Here is a 26,431-nt window from a genome sequence, read left to right as displayed (position 1 = left end):
TGCGCACCTGTAGTCCCAGGTACTTGGGAGGCTGAGGCAGGAGAATCACTTGAACCCGGGAGGCAGAGGTTGCAGTGAACAGAGATCATGCCACTGCAGCCCAGCCTGGTGACAGAGCAAGACTCTGTCTCAAAAAAAAAAAAAAAAAAAAGATTATAAGTGTATTCACATTTGTACTAAGTTAGGAATCCATTTGAGAATTTTGAGCAGAGGAGTAATATGATCTGGCTTACATTTTTAAAGGATCCTTGCAGTTGCTAAGACATAGAAAAACACTGAAGGGAGGCAAAGACAGAATCAGGGAGAATAGTTAAGAGGCTGTCATAATCCAGGAGGGAATGATGGTAGCTTGAACCAGTGTGGCAGTGTTGTGAAGTTCATCAGAAGTGACTGGATTCGTGACTCATTTTGAAAGTAAATCCAAAAGATTTTACTTACGGATAATTTGGATAATAATAATAAAAAAAAGAAGCAAGGTGACTTCAAGGATTTTCATCTTAGCAACTAGATGAAATTGGCATTAACTGAGATAGGGAAGACAACCAGAGGAACAGGTTTGGTGAGACTCTCAGGAGTTCATCTTTTTTTTAAAATTAATTAATGTATTTATTTATTTTTGAGACAGAGTCTCGCTCTGACACCAGGCTGGAGTGCAGTGGCACGATCTTGGCTCACTGCAACCTCCGCCTCCCAGGTTCAAGCGATTCTCCTGCCTCAACCTCCCGAGTAGCTGGGACTACAAGTGCACGCCACCACGCCCAGCTAATTTTTGTATTTTTAGTAGAGATGGGGTTTCACCATCAAAACACCCTAAGTATGTGATGCGTTTGTCAGACATCCAAAGGAAGATGTCATGTAGGCAATCAGATACATGAAACTGGACCTCTCGCCACCAGTCCTTTGCCAAAATTTTCCCAGTCAGTCATGTATGTATTGGCTGGAGTGTGTCCTCTTGTCGTTTCTTCAAAATGAATAACTTTTCCATTAGATCTCACCTTCCTGTGAGCAATGCTTCACTGAGCTCTTACATATTCAAAGCCATCTGGTAATACCATGTCCTGGAGAGAATGTCATCAATAGGATCTATCAATCGCAGGTTGCCATGTAAATTGGTACAGCCGCTGTGGAAAATAGTTTGGTAACATATTTTAATATTGAACATTTACAAACCCTATTAGCCAGCAATTCCATGCCTACATTTATATTCAAGAGAAAATCTTAACAAATTTATCAGAAGACATGAACAAGAATATTCATAACAACATTGTTACAGTGGCAAAAGCTGGAGATTATCTAAAAGCTTTTCAACAAAAGAATGAATAAATTAAGCTATACTCCCATAATGAAATTTTATATAGCATCAAAATGAATGATCTACAGCTAAACTCAACAATATGAACCAATCAGCAATGTTCCATGTTTCATCTCTTCTAACGTGCAGTTTTTCTTATAGCATCTTAGAATTCTGAGCTGACTTGTAAGGACTTTTTTCTTTATTACTGGTTGTGCCACTTATTAAGAGATTGCCTCTCAGCTCCAAATTCACCTTCCATAATCGGCTGTTTGATGTAACGCATGAGACTGCAGGCAGGAGACTGCAAATTCAGATGTGTGCTTTGCCAACTGACTCCATGAAGACTTTCGTCAATAGGGGGCGCCAGAGGAGACTGCCTTGCTAGAGAAGGAAGAAGGATTTGCTCTTCCTGTTCCTGTGACCTCCATCCCTGCCAATCTTTCTTCACAGCAGCAGTGGCAGTTCATTCCCACAGCAGCAGCTGAATCAGCTTGTAATTCTTCCATTATTTACAGAACCAGTGTGGTAACACTCCACCTCAGAGGCCTGGGTCCCAGCCTTAGGAAGGCCCCTCCTCTGGGGTCAGGCACCAGCAGCAATTGGGCAGTGCCTCCTCAGACATCTGAGTTTCAGCCCCACAGGGGCCCTTTTCTAAGTTTATCCCTTAGTTTCCTTTGTTTTCTAAGCCATAGGGGATGATAGCTCCTTCTTCTATGATACCTTAGAGTTCTCTTTTTGCCCTTTCAGTGGATAACAACCTTATACCTAGTACTGGTGTTTTATATAAAATTTCTCTGCTCAAGTAACTGGTGTGGTTTCTAACTATTGTGATGATATATAAAATAATTGTGTTTCTTGTAATGGATGCAGTAGTAGATTTGAAGTTTCAGAAGGTCCTATGTAGCAAAATAACTTTTGCAAGAAGTTAAAACAAATTTTAAAAACTATATATTTTAGGAACACACATGCACATACACATGATTGAGGTTGGCGCTGACCTCTGATGTAGGGAGGCAGAGAGATAGGGCATGATGGAGGGGCCCGTGGGTAGGCATGTTAGTATAATATTCTGGTTCTAGTAGTTGGGGCCATGAGTTTATCATGTTATTGAGAGGTGACAACGTGGTAGCAGCCCTCCCTTGCTCTTGGCACCTCCTCGGCTTCTGCGTCCACTCTGGCCGCGCTGGAGGAGCCCTTCAGCCCGCCGCTGCGCTGTCGGGATCCCTCTCTGGGGCTGACCCAGGCTGGAGCCGGCTCCCTCTGCTCACTGGGAGGTGTGGAGAGAGAGGCGCGGGCGGGAGCCCAGGCTGCGCACAGCGCTGGTGGGCTGGGGGGGGTTCCGGGTGGGCTATGGGCTTGGTGGACCCCGCACTGGGCACAGCCTGCTGGTGCCTGCTGGGCCCCATGTGTGGACCACTGTTCCCTCTTCACGGGGCCGTTGGCCACGATGGCGGGTCTCCATCTCTTTCTCCCTTCCCCTCTTTTCCTCTTGTTTGTCTGTGAGGAGCTCCCTCTGGGCTGCCAAAGTGCCTGGGCTAGGTGCCGCAAAGTCCGGCAAGTGTCAGTGAGAGGTGAAGCCGGCTGGACTTCTGGGACTGGTGGGGACTTGGAGAACTTTTCTGTCTAGCTAAAGGATTATAAATGCACCAATCAGCACTCTGTGCTAGCTAAAGGATTATAAACGCACTAATCAGCACTCTTGTGTCCAGCTAAAGGTTTGTAAATGCACCAATCAGCACTCTGTCAAAGCAGACCAATCAGCTCTCTGTAAAACAGACCAATCAGCTCTCTATAAAATGGACCAATTGGCTCTCTGTAAAATGGACCAATCAGCAGGATGTGGGTGGGGCAAGTTAAGGGAATAAAAGCAGGCCAGCCGTGCCAACAGCAGTAACCCTTTGGGTTTCCTTCCATGCCGTGGAAGCTTTGATCTTTTGCTTGCAATACGTTTTGCTGTTGCTCGCTCTTTGGGTCTGTGCTTCCTCTGTGAGCTGTAACACTCACCTAGGTGGTCTACAGCTTCACTCCTGAAGCCAGCGAGACCACAAACCCCCCTGGAAGGAATGAGCAACTCCAGACGAACTGTCTTTAAGCATTGTAACACTCACTGCAAAAGTCTGCAGCTTCACTCCTGAAGTCAGCAAGTCATGAACCCACCGGAAGGAAGAAACTCTGGACACATCTGAACATCTGAAGAAACAAACCCCAGACACACCATCTGTAAGAACTGTAACACTCACCGCGAGGGTCTGCGGCTTCACTCTTGAGGTCAGCGAGACCAAGAATCCACCAATTCTGGACACATTATTACACAGATGCTACCCAAATACTAATGTAGAAACATATAGGCAAACTACATTCATAATACATAATTACAGATATACACATACACATGCATACACACACCCATAAAATAAGATGGGGCATTGAACATTGATGTGAGTATAGAAAGAACTCAGATTGATTAATCCAATTCTCTAAAACATGAGATCAAAGCAAAACAAAAAAATTATGTCCCTTCTTACTTAAAGTAAGGTTTGGCTGAATGTAAAATATTTGACTCACTTTCTTTTCTTGTGTACACTGTAGCTGGTTCTTCGCTATCTTTTGGTATTGAATGTTTCTGTGGAGAAGTCTGAAGCCATCCTGATTTTCTTTCTTTTAAAAGTGAGTTTATTCACCCTTGTGCCTTTCTGCATCTTTAAAGGGTTCCAAAAGGGATTTGTGCTGCATATTTCAAGATAGCAACCTTACCTAGGTGTGACTCAGTGTTGATGGTTCTGGGCCAACTCTTGCTTAGTGTGCCCTGAGTATGCTTTAATTCTAAGTGAAAATATTCATTCTGTTGCTTTCTTTTGGTTTTCTTCTTTGGAATTCCAATTAAGCATATGTGAGCTATGTTTTTTAGCATAAAGCTATGCTTTATAGCATATATAGAGTTGTAATACTATAGCTCTTATTTGTCTATCATATCACTTTATTTCTCATTATTTTATTTTTTTCTTATTTCTACCCTCTATGTCCTTTAATGTGGTCTCAATAGTGTCAAATCTCCCTTGTGCTCTTTCTAATATACTTTGTATGCCTGTAATTTTTTCCCTTGGTTTATGTCCTGAGGTCTGCCATCACCTTCTGTTTTCTGTTCCTCTCTTCCCTGAGTTTGTCTATCTTGGTGTTCATATTTGGGATTTATTCATTTTTTAATTAATGAAAAATTGGTTAATTGTCTGCTCTATGGCACCTTTTCCTAAAAACTTATGTCTATCAAAAGGTCTTGCTGTTCTTTCCCACAAATGTTCTTAGAGTGTTTGGCAATAAGTACTATACATTTCCTTTTAAAAAATTAATTATTGTTGTATTGTCAGGAATCAGCTGTCTGCAAGAGGTTAGAAGTGGAGGGTTAGAGGAGGAGGAGGAAGTGCCAGAGTAGCTTTCCTAGTTTAGCAACTCAAGAGCTCTACCTCCTCTGTTAGGCTAGTGGAGAACTGTTTCCTTTAGAGATGATACAGTTGTGTAGCCACATTTCTGTGACTCTCTGAACTTAATGAAGTTCAAGATAGCCTCTCCAACCAGCCCTACACTCCTCTAGTTCCTTCACTAGTTACTGCAACCGAGGGACAGAGCTTGCCTTCTAAGGCAATCCCCACACTTTTAGAGTATGTATTTTGCTGATGCTTTCTGAACTATGCCAACTCTGGATCCCCGAAGAACCTTCCATATTTTTATTCTCGTGCTTTCCCAGTACTTGTAACTTCTTTGATCTAACACCTATTGTAGCAGTTTCCTTGCAAGTGTAAACCAAAAATAAAATTTCAAGGCCCCCCAACCATCTGAATGGACTTCTTTCTCAGACAGGGTTTTGTTTGTTTGTTTGTTTGTTTGTTTTTGAGACAGAGTCTCACTCTGTTAACTAGGCTCAAGTGCAATGGCCTGATCTCAGTTCACTGCAACCTCTGCCTCCCGGGTTCAAGCAATTCTCTTGCCACAATCTCCCGAGTAGCTGGGACTACAGGCGTGTGCCACCATGCCCAGCTCATTTTTGTATTTTTAGTACAGATGGGGATTTTGCCATGTTGGCCAGGCTGGTTCCAAATTCCTGAGCTCAAGTGATCCACCCACCTCAGTCTCCCAAAATGCTGGGATTACAGGTGTGAGCCACTGTGCCCAGGCGCAGACAGGGCTCTTCTAAAGGTTACCAACTGAGAGACTGTTTCAGGCCATGACAGGAAGTGGGGGTCGAACATGCCTCATTATACCTCTCTGGCATTTACATCAACACAGACCTTAAGTCTGATAAAAAAATATTACAATAAATTCTCTCTGAAGCCTTGTACTTAAAGGATTCCTCTGCAAATAAGAACCTAGGTCTCCACAATCTTTTATCTTAACCCAGACATTCCTTTCTATTGATCCCAGGTTGTTGGGGGAAGTCAGGGACCCCAAACAGAGGGACTGGCTGAAGCCATGGCAGAAGAACATAAATTGTGAAGATTTCATGGACATTTATTAGTTCCCCAAATTAATACTTTTATAATTTCTTATGCCTGTCTTTACTGCAGTCTCTGAACATAAATTGTGAAGATTTCATGGACATTTATCACTTCCCCAATCAATACTCTTGTGATTTCCTATACCTGTCTTTACTTTAATCTCTTAATCCCGTCATCTTCGTAAGCTGAGGATGTATGTCACCTCAGGACCCTGTGATGATGGCATTAACTGCACAAATTGTTTGTAGAGCATGTGTGTTTGAACGATATGAAATCTGGGCACCTTAAGAACAGGATAACAGCGATTTTCAGGGAACAAGGGAGTTAACCTTAGAGTGTGGCTGCCTGTGGGCCGGGCAGGACAGAGCCTTATTTCTCTTATTACTGAAAACGGGTAGGAGAAATATCGCTGAATTCTTTCCCCAGTAAGGAATATTAATAATTAACAGCCCTGGGAAAAGAATGCATTCCCAGGGCGGTGCCTCTAAAATGGCCACCCTGGGAGTGTCTGCATTTTGCAGATGTAGATAGGGATGAAACACCCCCTGGCCACCTGCACTGCCCCCAGGCTTGCTAGGATTAGGAAATTCCAGCCTGGTGAATTCTAGTCAGACCAGTTCTCTGCTCTTCAACCCTGTTAAGATATTTATCAATGACAATGCCTGCACAGCAGGACGTGGAAGTTCATTAGTGATTCTAGTTTCTCCCTGACCATGTGATCTCGCCCTGACCTTCTGCCTTGTGATCTTTTGTTGCCCTTAAAGCATGTGATCTCTGTGACCCACACCCTATTCGTACACTCCCTCCCCTTTGAAAATTGCTAATAAAAGCTTGCTGGTTTTGCGGCTCAGGGGGCAACAGAGAACCTGCCAACATGTGATGTCTCCCCTGGATACCCAGCTTTAAAATTTCTCTCTTTTGTACTCTTTCCCTTTATTTCTCAGACCGGCCGACACTTAGGGAAAGAGAAAAGAACCTACGTGAAATAACATTGAATTATCAGGGGCAGGTTCCCCTGATACCAGGTCTCTAGAGAAACTCACCAATTGTCACCCACAAAATTTAAAAATCTACCTATAAGCTAAAAGTCCCCATTTTGAGTTGTCCTGCCTTTCTGGACCAAACCAATGTATTTCTTATATGTATTTGATTGAAGTATCATGTCTCCCTCAAATGTATAAAACCAAGCTGTGCCCCAACCACCTTGGGCACATGTTCTTATGATCTCCTGAGGGCTGTGTCATGGGCCATGGTCACTCATATTTGGCTCAGAATAAATCCCTTCAAATACCGAGTTTGACTCTTTTTGCTGACACAGGGTAGAACACTTCCCTTCTGAGGGAGTAATTTTCTGGAGATTTCTGAGATGTACCAGGACTGACTCTTCCTTGCTTTCCGTTCTTCCCTGATGCTTCCCACCTGGATTCCTGCAGGGTTTTGCTGACTTCAGCTGCTCTTGGCAGCTCTTACATGTAAATGGAGTTAGCAGGTTTTTCGGTCTCCTCATTTCACTGTAAACAAATTTTGTGACTCTAAAAAATTCCTTGTGTTTTTCTGTGTGGTTTTTAAGAGGAGCTGAAGGAAGATTCAGAATGAAGCAGGATTTCCTACCAGAAGTCCTACAACTGTGTCCAAAAAAAAAAAAAAATGCTGCCATTGTACTCATTTCAAACTCTGTTTTCAATCTTTCAAAAGACATGTGAAAAATGAAGTTGGCCTGAGGTTTGAGGCAGATGTTTTGACTGATTTGTGCTCATCTCAGTCAACTGTTTTCTCAAGGGGTTGGGAGCAGACTGGTGCGGTAGGAATTGGTGCACATGGCAAGCTGAATCCTGAGGGTGAACAGGCAAAGCTTTTACAGAGCCAAATCTGATACATGATTATCACAAATTCTTGGTGGTTTTCTTCAGTTAATCATGGCAAGAGAAGTCAAAGGGACAGAGAAAGAGGGGACACCTTGGAGCTTTACCATTAAGCCTGTGAAAAGAAGTAGAAGGTGCCAGAGGGGAATGAGTTCTGAGCCTAAGTGGAGCCAGGAAAAAAAATCTCCCTCTGCCAAGAAAAGCAATTACATAAAATTTGGTTCAGAAATACAACTTCAGAACTGTGCAATCTGAAGAAAAATGTTACCATAAATTTGGAAACCAAGCATAAGTCAAATTGCAATTGATAAGAAATTTTAATGTAAAGAGGTATCATGTTATTCATTTAAATCTTGCTAAATGTGGTAGCACTTGAATTTAGCTAGTAAGTCTTTTTTTAAATATCATATGATTATGGAAAAGGCTTAACTGTCTGGATTGTTAAACTTCATCACATCTCTGGGTTATCCATCCTGAAATCACTGCTTTACTATGCTTAGCTGAATGACCATCTATGTAGTGACAATGGCCAGAATTGCAAGGCTTGGATCTTGAAAGAATCAACAGGTCTCTTTGGCAACAGAAATGTCAGAAAGTGTAGAAAAACCATAAGACCCAAAGGACTATAACCCCAATGGCTGGATTTTGGACATCCTGACATAGGGCAGATGGTATTATTTTGATCAAGATACTCTTTCCAGAATCCCTCAAATCACAGTCCAGGGGTTATCCATCACTTTGTGCCCATAAGTCTAGCCCCAATAACCCTGACGTCCCTGGCCAAACACATTATCAACACATTCCATAGACTGCTGTGAGTTGGTGCCAACTCAACAGCAGGGAAGTGTTGCTGAAATGGATCTCCCGACTCCTGGGATTTTTTTCTGCTTTGCAAACACTGTAATGCTTGACTTTATTATAGGGATTAAGACCTATGATTTAAATGATGTAACATCAACAATCCTCTGTTAATCCAATAATGATTCAACAACTGTTTTTTAGATCCTTTGATTTAACAAAATGTAATGGGATAGTTTTTAAATTCCTGAATTCCAACTACATTAATTGCTATACTTCAAGTGCAGCTGTCGAGACTTTAATCCTCCTTTACAACAGTGGTATTGAATTGAATTGAATTATATTAAATTACTCTGAATGTAATAGTGACTGTTCATTTGTTTGTGCTGTATTACTTTTTAAAAACATATTTTTATTTTGGAAGCAATCAAACTTTGAGGTACAGACAAGATTGCTTGTGTTTTTTCTTATAAACTTAAAATATAGGAAATAAAATAACACACTGGTGAAGCAAGTAGTGGCAGTTTCTAAATATTTTTCTTTCAGGGACATTTGCCACCTTTTAATGGTAAGTGATGTATTTATAATGTTTGCTGCTTTTCAGCTGCATCCATAATCATTTAAAATTAGATGGCATAAATATTGCTCTTCCATTATTAAATTGAATCTGCATCAATACATTGTGAGTTGCAAAGCAGAGGGACAGAAGAGTGGGAATAATGACTCAAATAAGTGTTGCTTGGAAGACAAAAATATAAGAGAACATGAAGTAGTGAGATTCTATTGTGACTAGGTAAACACTAAGGATAATGCATTCATTATTTCTTAAAGTACAGCACTATGGCAGGGCTCCTGGGTGTCATCAGCCTTTGAGTCAGTCTTTCCTTCATTGTACCCCATTGGTCCAGCCCCTAGCAAAATGTTCATGAAGCCACCTGCATGACATACTCCAAGCTCTCTTCTGAAGGAAAACAGCTCTAGAGGTTCTCGGTGCACTGAGTTACTACATCTTGAGCCATATTCAGAGAGTATAACCAGCTCTGCTACCTTGGTCACCACTGATTGACCCAGGACTGTTGCCTAAGCCAGCATCACTCATGGGTAAGATTGGGCATGAAAGAGACCAAAAACCTCCACTGGACTCTGGCTGAAATCTTGGCATCAAGGGCTTTCATATGGAATGGTAAAAGACTGACTCAATCAGATTATCTTTCATATGAAGAAGGAGTTCCCACAGTATGCAGGGATGGAAGGTGTATTCCAAAGCGTGTAGAGATGTTGTTCTTCTCCTTGAGGCCTCTCTAGCCAAGTATGAGGTAGGTGGGACCAGGAGTGATTGCACAGCCAAGAAGGAGATGACAATTCATGCCAATTGACATAACCCTGAATCACAAACCCTTATCACAGAGGTAACCTGGGTACCTCTGCTTCTTGTAATCTTAAAAAACCCAACTTATACATCGTAATTTGGACCTCTGCTTGAAGGTTTCTGTCTAGTGTTCCATTTTTCCCTCTCAGTTCAGAGATAGTATGAGAAAGCAGAAAGAGGACAAGCTTTGGTGCTCCCCAAATGGGCTGTAGTTCTAACTCTGCTACTTACTAGATGAAAGCCACGGTCAAGCCTTCTCTGACCTTCAGATCCCTTACCTCTAAAATAGAGATAACTCAAGGGAAAGAAAAATTACTGTACCAAAAAGACACCTGCACCCATATGTTTATTGCAGTACTTTCACAATAGCAAAGTCAGGGAACCAACATAAGTGTCCATCGATAGATGACTGGATAGAGAAAATGTGGTATGTATACAACATGAAATACTACTCAGCCTTTAAAAAGAACAAAATCATGTATTTTGCAGCAACATGGTTGGAGCTGGAGGCCATTATCCTAAGTGAAATAACTCAGAGACAGAAAATCAAATACCACATGTTCTGTGGGAGCTAAACAATGGGTACACGTGGACATATAGAGGGAAAAAAATTGACATTAGGGACTCCAAAAGGGGGAAGGTGGGACGAGGAGGAGAGTTGAAAAATTATCTATTGGGTACAACATTAAGTATTTGAGTGGTGAGTATACTAGAAATCCAATCCTTACCATTGCAGAATATATCCATGTAACACACATGCACATGTACCCCCTGAACCTATAATAATAATAAAAAAATAGAGATAGGCTGGGTGCAGTGACTCACACCTGTAATCCCAGCACTTTGAGAGGCTGAAGCGGGTGGATCAATTGAGGCCAGAAGTTCAAGACCAGCCTGGCCAACATGGCGAAACTCTGTCTCTACTAAAAATACAAAAATTAGCTGGACATGGTAGCTCATGCCTGTAATCCCAGCTACTTGGGAGGCTGAAGCAGGAGAATTGCTTTTACTCAGGAGGCAGAGGTTGCAGTGAGCCGCAATCCTGCCACTGCACTTCAACCTGGGTGACAGAGTGAGACTCTGTCTCAATAAAATAAAATAAGGCAAATGTAAGCATGCTTTATTGAAAAAATAAAATAAAATGGAGATAATGTATAAATAACCAGTCCTACATAGCCCTCCACCAAAATAATTTAAAATAATGAACACTTTCTTCAGCTATAAACTGATGTACAAATATTGTCATTTTATCCCTTAGCTAAACTATACGTGTCTCTGTTACCGTGATTTATTTACTTTTATCTTCTGTGCTGCATAATAATATTTGGGATCACCAGGCACGTTTCACAAATGCCTGTTGTGTGCATCACTCATTATAACTATGGGCCACGTGGGCCCTTCAAAATGGATCACATTCAAAGGAGAGTCTGATAGGAATTCAAACCTGATATTCACATTTCTTGAAGAAGACAAAATTCAAAGGCAACTGTTGCTAAAATTCTCTTCCTCTCATATTTTTTAACACCCTGCATCTCCCAGGGCCTGTCACTCACCTCCTTTCCTCCATTTTCTCTACTTTCCAGCCATCTGTTTTTCTTCCCTTTCCCAACCTCCACCCCAAGCGCGTCATTGTCATCACACCCCTGCATACTCTCCAAGTGCCAGCTGCCCCCTACAGAAGAGCGTCTGGGAAAGAAAATTCCATATTACTTTTCACTAGTGTTTCATAGGGATGGGACATTTAGCCTCCAACCCATTTTCCTAATTCTGCCTCACAACAAATCATAGGACCAGTCAGTGAATTCTCAAGAGGAGAGGGAGGGGAAAGAAATGAGCAGTAGCAGAAAGAGAATTGAATTTATTTGGTGGAGAGAAAAGCTGGGAACACTCACCTCTATTTGCATTTCTATCCTATCTCACAGAGAAGGATGAGATAAAGAAAAGGCAAGTCAAGAGGCTGCATTACATTCCTACTGGGAACCAGGCTCTGTTGTTGATATGCTAGAACTGAACTACATCATCATTGACTTTGGAAGCTTTGTGCCTCAGTGATCTGCGTGATCTCATACATATCCCAGAAAGTGTTACAGATGCTCAAGGCAATAATAATAGTGAAGTGTGTTCACAAGATCAGTCTGAAAAGGGTATGCAGAGAACAGGAATTGCTGAGATCAGAATGATTTCAGGATGTCTTTAGGGACTGGATGATACCTGTAACAATAAAGCTTTCATTGGGATAGAGAATTTACTTTGTGGTTGGCAAGCAGAGAGAAAATAAACTAATTTGATGGAACTAAAAATCTATAAAAGTTTGGCATCTCTCCCTCTATAATTTGATAGGTGGAGAAATGTAAATTTTTTGGACCAGAAGCTGCTGAACTATCACTTTTGGCTCTATTTAAATGAATTTTGCAGCTCCTTCATAGGTGGTGCTCAGGTAGAAAATTTTTAGAATTACGGAAGAAAGTGCTACGTGAACAAAGGCCATAGACTGAGTACCTGTGCTGGTACCATCCTTCAGTTCAACCACTCTTGTTGTAAACATGTTAAAGTCAAGTAAATTCACTGGAATCTATGGAGGAGTCACTTTATACCAAGCACTGTAGGAGATACTAAAATCATTTTTAAATAAATTTTATATATATTTATATAAGTGTATAATTTTTAAATAAATAATACTTCTTAACAATGCCCTAATATGGTGATTGAGACTATTTAAAAGGATATTAAATATAAAATGATAAGCACATTACCTGATACAGAGTAGGAGCTTAATAGATATTTGGGGATAAATGAATGAACTATAAAAGAGTGGGTTAGCCTTGTTACTCTCTAAACTATACAATTTTTTTTTTTAACTTTCCGAAGTAAATCTGGGATGTGAGTCAAGGGTCATGAGTTCTGAACTGAGATCAGCTCCCAAGGTTAAGTTATATAATGATTTAAAATGTAGACCCTGGATTCAGATTGTCTGGCCTAGAGCAAATTGCTTTACTCCTTCATCTACTCTTCACTTTCCTCACCTGTAAACAGGGATAGCAACAGAGCCTACCTCATGTTGTTAAGACCATTTGGAATTTCTACCATCATCAAAAATCAACTCCCATTTAGAACAATTGCAATCCTACCCAATCAGCTTTGTTCTTTTCCCCATCAATCAGGTCCAGATGCTTCCCTTTCAATCAGCAAAGACCATACCATGCTCATAGTCCTGTTGGGTCCCCTCTTCTGCCATAACATATTGCCTTTCATGAAGAGCTCTGAGTCAGTAGCCTGGCCCCACAGTCCCTTGGTCTCTCCCATTCTAGTGACATTCACCTCTATTCTGTATCTGCCATCAATTCCTGTGGTCACAACTTATCCATTACTATTTTCCAGATATTTTTCTCTAAAACTTTTCATTCTAGGAGTCCCCCTTGCTCTACAACATTTTATTCTCTCAGATCTTTTACACCTCATCCTGCTTTGCCTGCTGTTTGACCTCTAAGATGCCTCAATACGTTTCCTCTCCATTTGCTCCTGGTCAAGCAATTATTTATTCATTCTAGTGCACTGAGTCCTTACTACATGTCAGGCATTGTTCTTGGTCCTGGGCTTACAAAGATGAACAACACAAAGGAGTCCCCTGTGTTCAAAGGGTTTATGTTACTAGCAAGGAAAGAAAAACCAATAATAAAATATCAAGATAGCTTTAGCTAATGATACATGCTATGCAGAAAATAAAACAGTGATTTGGTGGAGAGAACGGTGAAGCCTAAGAGAGAAGGAGCAGCTAGCCATGAGATTTAGGGAAAGAGAGTGATCTAGGGAGTGAGACCAGCAAGTGCAAAAGCCATGAAGTAGAATAAGCTTAATGTGTCCTAGAAATAGGAATAAGACAAGATAAAATTGGAGTATAGTGGATGAGGAGAAGTGTGGTAAAAGAAGAGAGGGAAAATCATGATTGAACCTGTCAGTATTTGAGGATTCACCCTTGAATAGTCTCTCTTCCTCACCACCAACGCTGAATCAACAAGTCCTGCAAATTTTACCCACATCCTCAATATTTTTGCGACGATGCCTCCTCCACTCCATCCCTTATATTAGTGTTCCACTTGAAGATCTCATCATCTCTCATCTGAACTCTGGTGAGAATCTCCTAAATTGGCTCTTGCCTTTAGTCTTACCTTTTCAAATGCAATCTTGAGAGTCAATTGATCTATTTAAAATGAAAATCTGATTCTGTTATTTTCCATCATCTATGGGAAACAAAAATCCAACCTTCTTATGACAACAGAAAACTCTTCATAGTCTGGTAGTACAGTGTAATGGTTTAAAATATGGGTTTTACAATAAAATGAAATACAATTCCAGCTCTACTCCTTACTTGTTGTGAGGTTTTGGACAAATCATTTCATCTTCCTGTGCCTCAATATCCTTTTCTGATAAATAGGGATATAATAATAGTACTATGATCATGAGCAGACTCTAAGACTGCTCCAAATTGTTTTCACCTCTTGATACTCCCAACCTTGTGAAATATACTCCTCTTGAGTGTCAGCAAGATGTGTAACTTGTTTCTAACCAATAGAATATAGCAAAGATGATGAGTTATTGCTTCCATTGTTATATAACATTGCAACATCAGTCTTCTGGGAGACTATCCTTTGCTCCCTTTGAAAAGCGAAGCTGCCATGTTGGGAAGGCCCACCATGACATAAGAAACTAATGGGGACCTCCAGTGGACAGCCAGCAAGAAACTGAGGACCTCAGTCTTACAACCTTAGGAACTGAATGCTGACAACAACCACATAAACTTGGAAACAGATCCTGCCCCAATCAAGCCTCACATGAGACTGCAGCCCCAGCCAACACATTGATTGCAGCCTTCTGAGACTTGAAAACAGAGAATCCAGATAAGCTGTGCCTGGAATCCAGACCCACTGAAAGCGAGATAATAAAAATGTGTTTTTTTTAAGCCATTAAGGTTGTGGTAATACTGTTATGCACCAATAAATAACTAATACAAGTTCCTACCCAGAACAAAGATCATTAGTGCTCACCAAATGCACATGTGCTTCTCTTCATCTTCCTTCCTCTCTTGCAGTGAAGTTGGGAATATGTGATGTTCTACCCCATAGATTGTGAGCAGAAGTGCTTGGAGTCCACATGTTCTGGGTGTCACAGGCTGCATGACCCACATTGGACCTTGTGAGATGAAAAATATATCTCTATTGTGCTAAACCAATGAGAATTGAGGGCCTATATATTATTAACCCTGCATTAAAAACCTTGATTAACAAAACCACGCTGCAAGAGTTATTATAGGATTGACCAAAATGGTGTACAAAAGAAAATTGCATGTCGTACAAATCAAAACTCAATAAATGAGACCACTTTAACTTTTGGTCCTGTCTTGTATTCTGTATGCCTATACTTTTGAGCTATATTTTAATTTTACAAGCACCCCATGTCACCTCAAGCTCTTTTGCCATTTCTTCTTCCTTAAATGCCTTGCCTTGCCTTACACAACCTTCAAAATTTGACTAAGGTAGCACCTTTCCTAGGTTAGGTATGTTCCCCTTTTCTTTCCATACCAGTTCATTCATTCCCTCACCCAACACCGTCCACACGGTACTCACCACCTCCCTGGACAGATGGTGAGGACCTTGAAGACAGGAATCAGAGACTCATCACATTTTAGGAACTTGATAAACGTTTGTTGTTTACTATGTCACATTTACATCCTTCCTTATTATATAACTAGTTGAACTTCATTTAAAAAAACAAAACAACTTTAAACCATTTCCTTTCAGGATTTTCCCAAAGAAAACCTCCAGGCATATTCTTAGAATGAAAGCTCTTTATATGAAGAATATTAATTTCCCATTATTTTCCATTGCTCTCTACTTTAGACTGAATCCCAGTACTCCTTTTAATCTTTCTGTCACAAATTTAATTCTCAACCCCTATAATCATGTTTCCAACCTCTCTCCTTATTTGTGAAGTACAGAATTTGCACAGAGTGTTGCGGAACGAACCTATTCATGACCAGGGAAATGGTTGGCCCTATAATCTCTGCTCTGTGATGTTTTTTTTTTGTTCTTAAACTGAATGGTGCTCTCTTACTCAGCTGCTTGTCTCTAGGACCCCAGGATCTATCCATCTTACATTTGTGGACTCTTTTACCTCTTCTCCCTCTAGTTTCCCAGATTTCAGGGAAACTTGCTGAGAGGATGCTAATTTTGTCTCTGCATTTTCTCTAATTGAGATATGTCATTTGAAATTCTAGTTCTGAACTTTAGTGTGCTTCTTCCATACCTTCATGCACTTGCTAATAATGAAAAGAATCTCTCTCTTGGGCCATCAGTGGAAAAGATTCAGCTATACTGAGCTCAATCCCTTTATGTCTCAACTCCGTACCTCTAAATCCCAGGCCTAATGGTAACTGCTAAGTGTGACTCACAATGTTGTCAGTAGCTTAAAAAACAAGATGTGCAAATTAACCTTATGAGTTTATTAGGGTATAAGACAGCAATTCTGACTTTTTGCTGCATTTCATTTTGGCCTTGGATGTGGCAGTACTTTCCTACCTACAATGCATTTATTTTCTTAGGCACTATTCACATTAGCTGTGCATTCTTAATAGAGTTCTCTGTAGACATGACATGGCCAGTAGCCAGCGAAAAGAGAAAGTATCTCTCATTTGGAAAATTGCTTTCTATATATGATAAATGTTTGCCAAGTATCATTTATCCCAAAAGCTCAGATGTATCTAAGAGCACCTACATCAGGCCCTGGGAGTTTAATAATGGTACAATATTATCTTTAATAATACTTATTATTACGAAAATGATGCCTTTAAGTTAGCACTCTCCAATTTTCACATATATTATTACATTAGATCATTGTAGAAATCTTGTGCTTAGGTGTACAGCCTAATTTCTATTTTAAGATGGAGATTCAGAGAGGACTTCCTCACATTCTCACAGCCAGAGCAAGTAGCAAAGTCGAAAAGAGTACCCAGTATTTTCCACCCGAAGCCACTTCTCTTTTCACACAATATAATTTGTTCACTATCTTCCCTATAGTCACTAATAACCTTTACTCATATGAGTCTTAAAAATAAAATCATTTGCAAGTCGCATTTGATTTTATTACTATGGATTCCAGCCACATAAACATCTAAACAGTGATATACTATCTTTCTCAAGATCTCATTTAATTGGTAGAAGTGCCCTGTGAGTTATTATATCCTTTTTATTTAGTAATAATAAAAGAGCAAGCAGTTTTCGACTTGCAAGGCAGTAATTTAAACACTTTACAGAACTCGAGTCATTTAATCTCCAAACAACCCTATGAAGTAGATACTATTATTACTTTACAGTTAAGGAAACTGAAGCACATAGAGGTTATATAACTTTCTTAAGGCCACACAGCAAGGAAATAGCAAAGGAAGAGTTTTAACCCTTTATCTGGGTACGGAGGCCATGACCTTAAGCATGACTCTGCCTCTCACAGCAGAAGCTAAGTAACTTGGCAAAGGCCACATTACTGGGAAGGGATAGTGTTGGGATTTGGCTTTGTACCTGGGTCTCCCTGGCTGCAGACCTCACACCACCTCTATTTATATTCCACTGCACCGCCCTATTGGTCTATACCTTACCTGAGCTGTGTGTTTTCCTCCAAAGAGCTTTTGATGTAAACAGGGCCCCCAGACTCTAATGCTAAAGAAACAAGTGTAGGGGGAAACGCTCCTTGGCAATAGTATTGGAGTAAACTCTGTTTTTCCTTAGACTGATTAGCTGCATGTTTAAAATTTCCAAAAGTAATTGCCTTTAAAAATTGGTTAAATCTGGAAGAGGGTGGGAGTCTTCAGGCTGGCAGCTGTGTGCAGATTGTTTGAGTTTAATATATTTATAGAATTTCTGTCTGTCACCAGGCCTCTGGGAATACTTGCACTATTTAAAATATAAATCAAAAAACTATGCTGACGTAATCGTCTGCCCCAAGGAATTTTCCCCTAATCAGAGTCTTAATGGCAATGTAAAAATTCCCATTTGGCTCTCCTTCCCTAAGCAAAAGTTGCAATACTCAGGTGAAACTTGAAAGTTACCTTATGCTTAGAAGTTAGCAAGAAATGCTTCCTATCAACATGAAGTCATTTCAGACTAGAGTTCCCTATAGGCAGCGTCTCCATCGTTCTTCTGCTGTTCTATTATCTAGGAGCATCTGACTCCCCCGCCTGCAGATTCCTACGGTTTGGCCATGGAGTCCCCTTCTTAGACGTCTTCAATGGCTCCTGTGCCCATTTCTAAGGCTGTAGGACTTCTTTAGGATCTAGATCAAGCCAACTCCCCTGGCCTCCTGTCTTCCCCTCCTCTCCCTTCTCATAGGTCCCCTGTGCCCGCCATGTTCGTCTCCTCTGTGCTCCCCACCACCGTTCACTTCCTGCTAGTCCCTGGGATTCACTGCATCTGTGCTTCTGCTCTTGCTTTAAGAGCAAACAGAGCATCCCCTCAGATGTGACATGTTCCAATTCACAAAACCATTGGCACTTCATCTGTAAGCTCCAGAGTCCTTTTCACAGAGTCTCCATTGTTTTCGGTGCACATTATATCCCCTGCTAACCCAAAGCTCTAGGAGGGCAAAGATTCTGTGATGACAGCGGTCACGCACCTGGTGCCCTACCTGGCAGACGCACTAAAGGCCCTCAATTAATGGTGGTTTTCGCTTCTTTCTCCTGCTACATTAAAAAATAGTTTCCCACAATGCCTCGCTTATAGTAAGTGATCAGTAAATATTTTTAAATAAAGGGTGTGTTGTGGCAGACATCATTAAGAATCTGAAACAATTGGGTTTTTAAAATTTTCTAGACTCAGATTTTCTTTCTGGGGAGTCCAAAGCCTAGATAAGAGAAAAGTACTCTTCTCACAGCAGCAGGGTGTGCCTGTTAAAATGTAAGTCGGATCCTGATAAAGTTCTAACTCCAGAACACATCAGTGGCTCCACATTCTTACTGTGCCTAAAGGGCACAGTCCAGACCCACCCTCTCCAACCTCACCTCCTACTTGTTACACCCTTTTGCAGTCAGCCCCAGCCACTCTGGCCTCTTCCATGCTCCCTCCACACCATTGGTATAGTTCTGCCTCAGGGCCTTTGCACATTTTACTCCCTTCCCAGAATACTGTTCTCCAAGATAGCTACATGGCTCTTCCCCTTCCCTCACTTAAGTCTTCTCGTAATGTCACCTTCTCAGTGAGGTCTTTCCTGGCTATCCTACTTAAAATTGTACACACACCCATGCATATGCACGCATGCACACATACACACACATGTACACTCTTTATTCCTTCTTCCACATTCTTTCCCTCAAAGCCCTTGTTTCCTAATAGTATACCATATATTTTATATTGTACGTTTTTCTCCACCTTTCTTCTAGTACTATGAAAGTTCTCCAAAAGCAGTGATTTCTTTTTTATTTTCTGTATCCGTAGCTTAGAATGGCACTTAACATGTAGCAAGTCATCCATAAATATATACTTACTGCAATAATGAATGAAAGCAATCAGCTAGTGAGATACCAATTTCTTCTAGTTCTCTAAAGAGATCACTCCTCTCATTTGTGGTCTTCTCTGATGACTGTAGTCTCCCAATCACTTCAACTAATGAGCCAAGTTTGTATTGCATTAAAATAAATGTTTTTTCTCTTCCTTTGTGTTTAAACACTGTTACCTAATTTTATTGTTACAGTAACTACTGAAAAAGAAGGCTGGAAAATTTTTACTAAAATTGTATGAGAAGTTATAAATTCAAGGAAGGCCAAGTGGATGTAAAGCAGAATAAGATATACTATAAAAATGCACTTTCGCTGGGCGCAGTGGCTCACACCTGTAATCCCAACACTTTGGGAGGCCAAGGAGGGTGGATTACGAGGAGTTCGAGACCAGCCTGACCAACATGGTGAAACCCCATCTCTACTAAAAATACAAAAAAATACTTAGCCGGGCGTGGTGGTGAGCACCTGTAATCCTAGCTACTCAGGAGGCTGAGGCAGGAGAATCGCTTGAACCCAGGAGACAGAGGTTGCAGTGAGCTGAGATTGCGCCATTGGACTCCAGCCTGGGCGACAGAGCAAGACTCAGTCTCAAAAAAAAAAAAAAAAAAAAAAAAAAAGGAAAGAAAGAAAGCACTTTTATTCATCAATTCTTTCAAAAAGTATTTACTGAGAACTCACTATATTCCAGGCCCAGTTCTAGGGGCTAGAGTCACAGCAGGGAACAAGCCTAATCTCTGTCCTCATAGAGCTATGTCCATAGATAACCATAGATAATTAACCAATAAGCACATGACTCATGTTGACATAAAGACTGAAAATAAAATGAATGTGATGTGTGAAAATCAAGAGTGATAGGATCTATTTTATACAGGGTGGTCAGGAAAGGCAGAGTCTGGAGAATTTGAGCAGTGATCTCAACAAAGAAAAGAAGAAAGTCATAAGATGATAAGAACAGAGGATTTTTTTGGCTAAAGCAGCTGTAAGTACAAAGTCCTTGAGATGGAAATGAGCTTGGTGCATTTGATAACCTCATCTCATTCAATGATAATAGTTTTGAAGGTAGCAACAAAGGTTAACTGAATCTGTCCATCTTGAGGGTAGAACAGAAAATGGGGGAAAGCAGCAGAAATCTGAGCAGGTCTCAGTCCCTCATCTTTAAAACAGATGAAATCGGCACCTTTCAAACATAGTCCTAGGAGTTGCAGCATCAGGATCACCTGGCAGCTCGTTAGAAAGGCAAATTATTGGGCCTCACTCCAGACTGATTGCAATCAGATATTCTGAGGATCGACCTTAAAAATTTGCATTTAAGCAAGCCTTCCAAATGGTTCTGATGCACAAAAGTTTGAGAAGTATTGGAATAAATGATCTCAAGTATTTAACTTTCAATGTTTTTATGAAAATGAAGCAACGAAGATGAACTAGATTGGGCAGGCTTCCTGCTGGGATAGCCAAGAGGAAAATATAGAAAACAAAACAGATTTGATTCCTATTCAGCATTCCTCCACCCTCCTTCTTAAGAAGCATTCTTTAAATCATTTCTGACCAGGGCACCTCCAGTTGTGTCCTTTTAGAAATCCTCTCTAAATGCACAAATTATGCAAAGATCTATAAATGCTTATAAGCAGCTTTAGGAAATGGAAAACAAATATAAGGCTACAGAAAATAGTATCTATGGAAGTTAGCTTACCTGTAGAATAACCTAGGCATACACACTTACATTTTATATTTTAGAGTTTTTCTTTTGTTTTGCTAATTTGAGCCCATGGTAGTTCAAGGAAATGATAAGCTCCTTGAAATTTTAGGCAAAATTTTTCATGTAACCTTACTTTTCAGAGGAGAGGGTTACACAAAATATTCAAAGAGGGCTACAACTTTAAAAAAGATTAAAAACTGCTGCCTAAAAAGGGTGGTTATCCAACTCTGGCCAAAAGTTAACTACAACTTGAAAACCAGCAACATTGACTTTCTTACCCTAGAGATTTTCAGCCTGAATTCAGACATGGAAAAGAATTAGCTTCGTGGGTGGCATTTTTCTTTGTATATACAACATACTCTTTTAAGACTTATAACCTCATAAATACCAATTTTATGCCTGTCAGTATTGTTTTGGCTTAAGAAGGTGGGGTTACAAATTCTGCTGGCCTCATTCCAGACCCCTCATCTTGCTTCCATGGCCTCTGTTGAAGACAACAGGCTTTAGATTCTAACTTAAAAATATTTGCACATAAAGACACACATACATGCACAAAGAATGTTACTCAAGTCCTTAATGCTCATTTCTTTTTTTTCCTCGATATGCAAAAACCCTCACCTTTTAAAATTTCATTGTCTTCCTCTCTGTTCTAATGTAGTTCTTAGTGTGGCTGGTGGCAGAATTTTCACCCTAAACAACCAAGCAGCATCAGCAGCCTTGGTGCTACTATGTGGTCATTTAAGAATTTTCTTTTAGGCCGGTCACCGTGGCTCATGCCTGTAATCCCAGCATTTTGGGAGGCCGAGGCAGGTGGATCACTTGAGGTCAGGAGTTCGAGAACAGCCTGGCCAACATGGTGAAGCCCTGTGTCTACTAAAAATACAAAAATTAGCCGGGCATGGTGGCATGTGCCTGTAACCCCAGCTACTTAATAGGCTGAGGCAGGAAAATTGCTTGAACCAGGGAGGCGGAGTTGCATTGAACTGAGATGGCGCCACTGCACTCCAGCCTGGGTGACAGAGTTAGACTCCATCTCAAAAATAAATAAATAAATAAACAAATACATAAATAAATAAATAAATATTATTTTAAGTCCTAGAGAGAGTTTACATGGAGAGGAACTTTATTGGGAAAGTGGTAGTGAAATTTTAAGGAGATAATCTGTATTGTTTGCAGGCTGATACAGGTGTCTCGTTGAATGCCTTAACTGGACTGATTGCATGCCTTATCCTTCTGTCACATTCTTCCAGATTATTGGGAAGAGAGATACAGTCAGGCTACCTCAGTTCATGGACGCTTATTGTGGGCATAGATGAAAAGAAGAAAAAAAAAACCCCAAGCTGCTGTATACGTAGAGAACTAGCACCCTCATTTGTAACTGTTTAGTTGCAGTCGGGTAGATCTAATGGTCCAACAGCCGCTGTTGCAGGTTGGGGGTCAGCAGGAGGCCAACCCCAGGTGTAGAAGTCCACTGCATCCCTGACTGTGCTCTTGCGTCTCTGGTCCCTTCTTTCCTGCTTTGTCTTTCTCTTGGACTACCCATAGCTGGCTGTCTCCTCTTCTCTTTATCAGTAAATAAAATTCATGGCTTTTATTTACTGCTTTCACTTCCTGTATTTTTACATCTTTACCACTCTCCTAACAGGCCATACTCTTGGTATGTCTTCAATTCAAGCATTCCAAATGAAAGGATCTGATTGGTTTGACAACACTCCCTCTCAGGTAAAATATTTCCATCGGGAAGAACTCTAGAAGCAGTCGTTTGGATGGTCAACCTTTGGCCAGGAGCCTCTCTCCTAGGTGAGTAAGTGTGGCTACATTATCAGGAATACATTATTTTGTGAATATTTTTACAATCCTAAAAAAGGAATAGTGGATGTAGCAACTGACTTCAAAATGTGCTATGCACATGGCATGCTGTGATAGGCAGGATATGGCTCCCAAAGGTGTCCAAGTGCTAATCCACAGAACCTGAAAATATTTTACCTCACATGGCAAAGGGGACTCTGTGAGTTTGATTAGGTTAAATATTTGAGATGAGTGGATAATTCTGGATTATCTGAGTGTGTCCAATGTAACCACAAGGGGATTTAAAAGGTAAAAGAAGGAGACAGGAGATCAGAGAGAGAGAGAGATTTGAAGATGTTACTCTGATGACTTTGAAGATGGAAGAAGAGGCAATAAGCTGATTAATGCAAGCAGCTTCTAGAAGCTGGAAAACAAAAAGGAAGACTTTCCCCTAGTGCCTCTGGAAGGGAGACCTTGCTGATACTGATACGTTGATTTAACCCGGTAAGACAGTGTATTAGTCCAGTGTCACACAGCTATAAAGAATTACCGGAGACTGGGTAATTTATAAAGAAAAGAGATTTAATTGATTCACAGTTCCATAGGCTTAACAGGAAACATGACTGGGAGGCCTCGGGAAACTTACCATTATGGCAGAAGGTGAAAGGGAAGCAGGGACATCTTAACATGGCAGAGCAGGAAAGAGAGATAGCGAAAGAGGAAGTGCCTACACTTTAAAACCATCAGATCGCATGAGAACTCACTCACTATCACGAGAACAGCAAGGAGGAAATCCACCCCCATGATCCAATCACCTCCCACTAGGCCTCTCCTCTAATTCGACATGAGATTTGAGCAGAGACACAAATCCAAACCATATCAGACAGTGTCAGACTTCTGACCTTCAGAACTATAAGCTAATAAATTTGTGTTGTCACTAAATTTGTGATAATATGTTACAGCAGCAATAGGAAACTAATACACAGACCCTCAAAATATTCTCCCTGGGAAACTCTCCTGTTTATAAAAAGAAAAGAAAATCTTTAATGGAAATTATAGACTGATACATCTTCACTCCATGCTGGGCATAGCTTATTTACCACTTTCCATAGTCTGTTCTCATCTTATGGCTTGGCTCTGGACTAGTCAGGAAGTGTTGATGTTCCTTGAAGTTTGATTGGAGCTGACACTGCCTGACCCCACCCACCCTCCCACTCTTACAGGGAGTGGGCATATAACCCAAACCTGGCCATTATTGTTGACCCGGCGATAAAGACAAAACATAACTATGAGACTACCTGGCAGGGCCATGGGAAAAGATGTTCTCTTTAACCAAGTGGAATATGAGTGTAAAGTATTCTGTTTTTTTTTTTTTTTTTTTTTTTTTTGTCTTTTTGAGACAGGGTCTGTGTCACCCAGACAAGAGTGCAGTGGTGTGATACTAGCTCACTGCAGCCTCAACCTCCCAGGCTCAAGTGGTCCTTCTACCTCAGCCTCCCAAGTAGGTGGGACTACAGGTACACACTACCATGCCTGGATAATTTTTTTATTATTACTTTTGTAGAGACAGGGTCCCACTATGTTGCTCAGGCTGGCCTCAAACTCCTGGGCTCAAGCAATCCTCCTGCCTCAGCTTCCCAAAGTGCATTGGTTACAGGCAGGAGCCACCACACCCAGCCTAGTGTAAAGTATTCTGTGAGCATCCTACTTGCTGTAGATAGTGAGCCGTCTGCAAAAGAAACAGAGATAGGGTCCTGACTTTATTGTTTTAGCTCCTGGATTGAGCTATGCCTGATGCCTGTTCCACTCGTGGTCTTCCTAGTTAAATGAGTTATACATTTAATCTATTGGTATATCCTGTTAGCTTTATTTTCAAAATATAGCCAGAATGTCTGTGTTGCTGTTTCCTAGTCTCATCCACAATCACCTCCCTGGGTCACTTCCATAGCCTCTTACACAGACTGCCTCTGTTGTTGCTTCTCCTCACTGTTCTCAGCCAGGCAGCCAAGATGATGCTCTCAGAATGTAACTCAGATCACGCCATATCTCCATGGTCTCCCGTTTAATTCAAGAGTAAAAATTGAACTCATTGCCATGGTGCACAGGGCCCCATGCCATGGACCCTCTTCTGCCCCTTAGCTCTCTAACTTCATATCTTCCAGGTCTTTACTCAGTGGTCATCTCTCCAGTGAGCCCTTCCAGAGTCAATCCATCCTCCCCCATGCTTTAGCTTTCCTCACAGCACTGTCATGATCTAACATGCTGTGTATTTTATTATTTTATCTTGGGACCACCATCAGCACATTTCATGCTTTGCTACAAATTATAAAACTGTGACTTTTCTCCAGGCTGACAATACAGCCCACTGGGATTCCAGGCTTGGCTAGAGAGGTCAGATTTGATTCCAGCCCCCAACTGCCCTTCTATCTGAGTGCTTGGCATTGGGCATTCTACAAACTGAAAAATGTATACTGCATCCTGGTACCTTTTGTCTGTTTCTCCCACTAGAATATATCCCACCTGAGGCCAGAGATATTTAATTTTGTGTGTGTGTCTTGCTAACTGCCCCAATACCTAGAACAGGGCATAGTTTATGGTAGGAGCTTGAGAAACGTTTGAGTCAATTAATAAGCTTATAATTTGTATTCTGTGCTTGAGCTAGCTAGCCTGACTTGGTTTTCTGTTACAACGAAGATATTCCAGATATACCCAAGCAATACTCAAATATTTATGTTGAACAGCATTAGTGATATAAATTGCTGTCCTCCTGACCAACTCATCTCATGGATATTTATGCTTTGAAAATTCTTTCTGATATCGAATGGAAAATTCTGTACATTCTGCTTCCTTGAAAATTCCATACATTTCTTACCTATAGATAGATTAAACAACATAGAATAAATTTAATTCTTCTTCCATATGACAACTCCACAAATATTTGAAGACAGCTATTATTACCCTTGCATCTGCTCTTTTCTCTGATTAAAAGCCCCTAATTTCCTCAATTTTTTGTGCAATGTTGTTTTAAGAAATCCTCACTCTCCTGGTTAACTTCCCTTGCATGTGTCAGTTTTTTTCTTATGTTCATCCAAAATCAGAACTCAATGCAATACTGACTAGGATTTGACCCATATAAAGTACAGCAGAGATGTCATCTCTGTTTTGTTTATTTTTGTTTTAGGGTTTCTTTTTTTTTCTTTTTTCTGAGATGGAGTCTTGCTCTGTCACCCAGGCTGGAGTGCAGTGGCACGATCTTGGCACACTGCAACCTCTGCCTCCTGGGTTCAGGCAATTCTCCTGCCTCAGCCTCTCTAGTAGCTGGGATTACAGGCATACACCACCACACCCAGCTAATTTTTTTGTGTGTGTTTTTAGTAGAGGCAGGGTTTCACCATGCTGGCCAGGCTGATCTCAAATTCCTGACTTCAGGTGATCCACTTGCCTTGGCCTCCCAAAGTGCTGGGATTACAAGCAAGAGCCACCACGCCCGGCCTATTTTTTAAGGTATTCTACTTTCATTAATGCAATTGATGGTTGAATTAACATTTTCGGAAAGTCAAAATACAATTGTAATCTATGTTGAGCTTGCCATTAAT

At 40.8% G+C, this 26,431-nt stretch overlaps 2 long non-coding RNA genes across 3 annotated transcripts in view, besides 1 other annotated feature; one reads left to right on the top strand and one right to left on the bottom strand.

Annotated features, from left to right (window-relative positions):
* LOC105369715 (uncharacterized) overlaps nucleotides 1-22,833 on the top strand; it is a 182,759-nt gene extending 159,926 nt beyond the window's left edge. The window contains exons 5-6 of one of the 2 annotated variants that reach the window (XR_001749060.1): nucleotides 20,223-20,330; nucleotides 22,693-22,833. This is a non-coding gene — a long non-coding RNA (uncharacterized LOC105369715). The remainder of the gene's footprint in view (nucleotides 1-20,222; nucleotides 20,331-22,692) is intronic. The other variant, XR_931474.1, reaches the window with a different exon arrangement.
* LOC105369716 (uncharacterized) lies at nucleotides 1,008-18,074 on the bottom strand. Its single transcript, XR_931477.2, has 3 exons — nucleotides 17,909-18,074; nucleotides 14,856-15,000; nucleotides 1,008-1,121 (listed from the first exon to the last, which is right to left on the bottom strand). It is a non-coding gene; the product is annotated as an uncharacterized LOC105369716 (long non-coding RNA).
* Nucleotides 6,080-6,706: an enhancer, noted in NCBI's record as "OCT4-NANOG hESC enhancer chr12:30037798-30038424 (GRCh37/hg19 assembly coordinates)". NCBI's record gives its function as "activates a minimal SCP1, AML or CMV promoter by ChIP-STARR-seq in primed H9 embryonic stem cells {active_cell/tissue: H9 hESC(primed)}" and the evidence as "EXISTENCE:reporter gene assay evidence [ECO:0000049][PMID:30033119]".
* Nucleotides 22,834-26,431: the final 3,598 nt, after the last annotated feature.

This window comes from Homo sapiens, chromosome 12, assembly GCF_000001405.40.
Source record: "Homo sapiens chromosome 12, GRCh38.p14 Primary Assembly".
Lineage (NCBI taxonomy): Eukaryota > Metazoa > Chordata > Mammalia > Primates > Hominidae > Homo > Homo sapiens.
The sequence above is the reverse complement of the archived record's forward strand: the minus strand, read 5'-3'. Positions and strand labels throughout refer to the sequence as shown.